Genomic DNA, 6,011 nt, shown 5'->3' with positions numbered 1-6,011 from the left:
TGGCTCACGCCTGTAATCCCAGCACTTTGGGAGGCTGAGGCGGGCAGATCACGATGTCAGAAGATCGAAACCATCCTGGCTAACATGGTGAAACCCCGTCTCTACTAAAAATACAAAAAATTAGCTGGGCGTGGTGGCACGCACCTGTAATCCCAGCTACTCGGGAGGCTGAGGCAGGAGAATTGCTTGAATCCAGAAGTTGGGGGTTGCAGTGGGCCGAGATCACGCCACTGCACTCCAGCCTGGATGACAGAGCAAGACTCCGTCTAAAAATAATAATAATAATAATTGACCAGACAGATACTATTAGAAATGATCCAGCAGATTTGAAAAAGAATAGAACTTTCAGAAGTGAAACATGATTATTAAAATAAAAACATTCAGTGTAGAGGAAGTAAATAATAGATTAATCACAAATAGAGAATTAATAAACTAGAAAATGGAATTGGGGAAATTACTAAGAATGATGCACAATGGGCCGAGAAGATAGAAAATATAAAAGAGAAATACAAGACACAGAGGATGGAATGAGCAGGTCTAACATGCAGCTAACCGAAGTCCCAAAGGAGAGAAGAAGGAAAACAAAGACAAGGCAGTATTTGAAGAAGCAATGGCTAAGAATTTTCCAGAATTGATAAAATAAGTAAATTAATAATCCCAAGTAGGATCAATAAAGTAAAACACACATCTAGATACACTGTAGTGAAACAATACCAAAGGCAAAGAGATCTTAAAAGCAGCCCAAAAGGCCTATCACCTACAAAGGGATGGCAATGACACTAACAAATGGCTTCTCGTTAGCACCCAGAAGACATGGAATGCAAAGTGCTCAGAGAGGAGTCAACCTAGAAGTGTGTCAGCAATACTATCTTTCTAGAACAAGAATGAAAGAAAACATCTGCCCAGATCCAGAAGTACTGACTGAATCAATTTGGAAAGCTACGTTGCTGTGCTGTACTTCCAATTTTTTTTGAGCATCAGTAAACAATGTATGCTAAGACAGCATTCAGGGAACCAAATCTTCAGCTCCACTACATCCTAAATGCCTTGGAGTGCAGTAACCAGGTCTGTCTTATTACAGTAGTCCCCCATCACCAAGCAAAATATCTTGCCCCTAGCCATGTTACGTAACTATTTTCTGAATGAATGCTGAGTGAACAAGGAGTAAGGCAACTCAGGCTGTTATCTTGATTCAGCCATTCACTTTCTCTGGATATGTCATTCAGCCTTTCTGAACCTTGTTTTGGTTTTGTTTTGTTTTGCTTTCCTTGTGAAATAAGGCACTGGCCTATCTCACAAGCTTCCAAACGTTTCTTTAGCCATGACACCATTCCAGCAGACCCTAATACATAGACAGACGAAAGCAGGGCTTCTCTGGTTGAAGTTGGGGAGGAGGTGCCCTGGTGAATTTGGCCCTTCACTTATCTGTCTAATGACCCCCTGAGGACCTCCCTGAACCCTGAGGTTCTGCAGACAGTTAGCAAATCCTTGTCCTGGAGGTCCTTCCAGCTTTACCCTCCATGACTATCAATAAACCAAGTGAGGCACTTCTTTCCCAAAATAGACAAAGGAGATTTACAGCCCCTCTTCTCTCTTCTGGCCTCTCATGCTATTCAGCGGAGGAGACAGACAACCTATTTTTATCTCAGGTTGTTGGAAGGCTTATTCTGTAGTCAGCAGAGTTTCCCAGCCAAGAAAAGGCTTTCTATGTCTGTGGATGTCCTATAGCAGTTCACCAAGAGAACTGATGAAAAATTCTGAACTTCTGACAAGCAGCAAGGGAATTCCCTTCTTGAAGATTTTGCCAGGTACAAAGCAAGATGGCACAGGAGATCAGGCAGACCCTTTTGGGCTGTATCCTCGGGGCCCCAGGACAGCGAGCCACACAAAACACAGAGGGGGCAGCCTGTGCCACGTGCTCGTGGTTGAAGGAATCCTCCCCCAGGGTGTCTTCTACCCACTCCTGTGCATGTTCCCCCTGGTTCTAAGTCCTCTTGTCTTTGCCTTCTAGTTTCCTGCCTCATGTATTTGGAATCTGGCTCTCTCCTGGCTGCTCTGTGACAGGAATCCATTGGAAGCTATTGCACGAAACTGTTGCCAGGTTCCAAGTTCCCAGTGCCACGATGCTGGCTGTGAGGAAAACCTAAGGACCCCGTCTTTTGGGGTCCCTGCCCTCTGGCCAGGAAGGAGATAAAAGACTCAGGACTGAAGGCAGTCAGATTGCAGGTCTCTGAGGCTGAAGGAGGCTGTGTGTGACCAGAAGAGAGCACTCTCTGAGCTCAGAAGTTTGGTTGTAACATGGAAGGAAGGAGGGAACGAAGGAAGGAAGGGAGGGAGGGAGGGGGAGGGGAGGGGAGGGGAAGGGGGGGAGGGGAGGAGAAAGGGGGGGAGGGGAGGGGAGGGGAATGGGAGGGGGAGGGGACCACAGTCTGTTTGAAGTTTCAGTGCTGAGTGTCCCTCGGGAGGGAATGAGGGAAGTGGGTCAGTGCCATACTCTCTAGCATTCCCAGTGGAGAGGGAGCTCTGACGAGCCCCAGTGCATGCTGGTCTCTTCTGTGCATGTGCATTTACCCAGGAGGAGGGATCTGGTGAAGATAAACCTCCAGGGTGGCACTACAGGGGTAACAGGCTGCAGGGGACAGCCTGTGGTTGGAGGGACTGGTAAAGGGGTCCCAAAGAATTTGGGATGCTCAGCAGTAATCGTAGTCATTTTTCCTCCATAGTTCTTCGAATCTAGGGCCCTTTCCCTGTCCCAGGGAAGAAGGAGGCACAAAAGACTGAGGAGGGCACAAGAGCCAATTCTTTTTTTTTTTTTTCTTTTTTGAGACAGAGTCTTGCTCTTTTGCACAGGCTGGAGTGCAATGGCGTGATCTCGGCTCACTGCAACCTCTGCCTCCCAGGTTCAAGCAATTCTCCTGCCTCAGCCTCCCGAGTAGCTGGGATGACAGGCATCCACCACCATGCCTGGCTAATTTTTCTATTTTTAGTAGAGATGGGGTCTCACCATGTTGGCCAGGCTGGTCTTGCACTCCTGACCTTGTGATCCGCCTGACTATTCTTATCAGAGTTTCATAAGCGAAAGCTACTAAATTGCAAGAACCTAGGATTTTGAATATCTAAGTCCTAAAATACTCAGTTTGATGCCATAAACAAGAGATTTCAAAGAAGCGAGGTACATTTACACTCTGTGGATAGGAAGGAGAGGAGAGCCAGAGAGGAAGCAAGAGGTTAGATGCCAGTGGGCCTGGAAAAGGGGCCTTCTGTCCTGTCTCACCCTGGGGGAAGAAGTGGAGGAGAGGACATAAGTCTCATCAAAATTTGGGGAATCTGAAAGACAAGGAACCTGTGTCTGCCTCTAGGAAAGGCCAGGAATCAGCAACAGCACAAAATTCCCCCTCCTTCCACGGGGTGCAGGAAAAGAAGAGTATGGTGGTATGGAAGTAGACCAGAAGTGCCTTTAACAGTCCTGTGTGGTGGCAAAGAAGCCACCGGAGAGGGGCAGGTGCGTGTGTGTGCACGTGTGCTTGAGCAAGAGAATGACAGAGCAAGGGACAGAGTGAGCTCACCTGAACACACACAAGCATGGAAGGAAGGAAGGGAAGAATCTGGTGACGGCGTGTTGAGTAGGAGAAAGAGGATACGGCTATGCTCTGCCTGGACGGGCAACCCGAGAAAAGGTGGGAACAAGGGCTTCTCAGGGACACCAGCTGGAATGGTGAGATGAGGACAAACAGGGACCAGATACTGCAGCCTTCCCCCTACCCAACATCATGTAGGTCCCCATAAAATACGGAGGAAGAGCCTGAACTGAGACTGAGCTTCTGGCACGCAGAGAAGATCACAGAAAAATAAAGTTACTTTTCTTGCCCATCTGAGTTTGTGGGCTGAGATAAGGATTCTCCAGCCTTCCTCTCCCACCTTCCCTCTCTCCCTTCTCACACAGCCTTGCTGTACCAACTGTGGATTTTACTCATTATAAGGATTTTTCTAAGCTTATAAGGGTACTTATTTACCAGAGGTAGGTGACTTACAGGGAAGGATTTCTTGGGGCCGTTCCAAGGCAGAGAGCCCCATTCCCAATCTGGCCCAGATAGATAGAATCATATCTGGTCCAGCTATGATAGAATGGCCTGCCTTCAAGGACTCCTGCGAGCTGGACCATGCTCTGTCAACAGTGACTGGTGCAGGTCCTCTCCTTCCGGGTGAGGACCTCACTTCATCAAACCACTAATAACTTTTGTATAACCAGAGGTGGAAGGAGCCCCAGAATAACTGGCATTGAATCTCTCACGCCCTGGGCCAGATGGGAGTTCAGAATAGATTCAAATTGATTTGGAGAAACACAAGAAATGTAACATTTCTTTTTCTTTTTTCTTTCTTTCCTTTTTTTTTTTTTTTTGAGATGGGATTGTGCTGTGTTGCCCAGGCCAGCCTCGAACTCCTGGGCTCAAGCAATTCTCCAACTTCAGCCTCCTAGTAGCTGGAACTACAGATGCAGAAATGCAACACTTCTTGAATCCAAGTGTTGCGGCAGAATCGAAGTCATAGCTGATATATCTGCATATTTCCTCATTAACAAAGGCTTGGGGGGAGTTGTTTGTTTTTATGAGGAGAGGAGGAAAAAAAGACCATAAAATTCCCAATTTTACCCTAATGGAGATGCCTCCCTTACTAGGGCAATGATAAGAATGGACAAAACTCCAACTGGGTAAGCTGCTGCTGCTGCTGCTTCTTTTTTTTTTTTTTTTTTTTTTACAATAGAGACAAGGTCTTGCTCTATTACCCAGGCTGGAGTACAATGGTGTCATCATAGCTCACTGCAACCTTGAACTTCTGGACTCAAGAGATCTCCCAACTCAGCCTCCCAAGTAGCTAGGACTACAGGCCCAGCCAATTTTTTTTTTTTTTTTTTTTTTCCCCCGTAGAGACAGGATCTCATTATATTGCTCAGGGCTTGTCTTACATTCCTGGTCTCAAGCGAGCCTCCCAAAGTGCTGGGGTTACAGGCATGAGCCACAAAGCCCAGCCTTGGGTAAGCTTCCTTATAAGAAGATTATATTCCAAAGTTTGGATATTCAAGTTCTCATCAGAGCCTGGAAGATGTCCCTATAAGTCACCCAGCGGGTAGAAAGAGCGTGGGATTTGAAGTTAGGCAGCTCTAGGTTCTAACTCCAGTTCTGCCATTTACTGCTGCATAAACTTGGGCAAGTTTCTTTACTTCTCCAAGCTTCAGTTTCCTCACTGAGTACTTTGGGATAATAATATTGATCTCAAAGGGTGGTTGTCGGATTAGAAGAGATAATTTCTACATAGCACTTAGCTGTGTCCAGTAGACAATGGGAGCTCAACAGATGCCAACTGTTGCTGTTATTTTTATTACCATTAATTCCATCTGTAAAGAGTCTAGTGGGGAAGATGTGTTAGCCCTGTTGTCTTTTTTGAAATCCCCTTCTTGTCTCCCAACAACAGGAAGGCTGTAGGATGTTTTAATTCTGCTTGGCATAGATCCATTATGACTGCTAGCAAAATTGGATTGGACATTAGATGTGGAGTCCAATTTCTTCACAGAGTTAACGGGTAAAATATGATCAAGAGTCTCCTGAACTGCAGTGCAGAAATCCCAGGCCACCAGCAGTAACCTTTTCCATGGTATAAATGCCATTAGCCTGGCCTAGTGTATTTAAACCACCAGCTTCCAATTATCTTCTGGCAGAGCTCAAAGCACCTCCTCTTTAGAAGACAGAAAGTAATCATAGTTATCATTCTAAATTGCCACCTTTTCTATGGATTTCCACATTATCAAAGCACAAAAGGACTCTGCATGAGCTTGGGTTAAGAATCATCATCATTTCTACTCTGTATTGTTAGCTATTTTCTCCTTTCCTGAAAATACGGACCTCACAGGTTGTTGATAAAGAAGGAAACCTTAATAACAAAAGACTGCGTTTAATAATGTTCTGATTCGGCCAGCCATGATGGCTCACGCCTGTAATCCCAGCACTTTGGGAGGC

The 6,011-nt window shown here is 46.0% G+C and overlaps 1 protein-coding gene across 8 annotated transcripts in view; it reads right to left on the bottom strand.

The window, feature by feature from the left end:
- Positions 1 to 6,011, bottom strand: part of KIAA1549L (KIAA1549 like) — a 297,995-nt gene that overhangs the window by 19,843 nt on the left and 272,141 nt on the right. The gene's annotated exons all lie outside the window — the stretch shown is intronic.

This window comes from Homo sapiens, chromosome 11 (assembly GCF_000001405.40).
Source record: "Homo sapiens chromosome 11, GRCh38.p14 Primary Assembly".
Taxonomy (NCBI): domain Eukaryota; kingdom Metazoa; phylum Chordata; class Mammalia; order Primates; family Hominidae; genus Homo; species Homo sapiens.
Note: the sequence above shows the minus strand (reverse complement) of the source record. Positions and strands in the feature narration are given on the sequence as shown.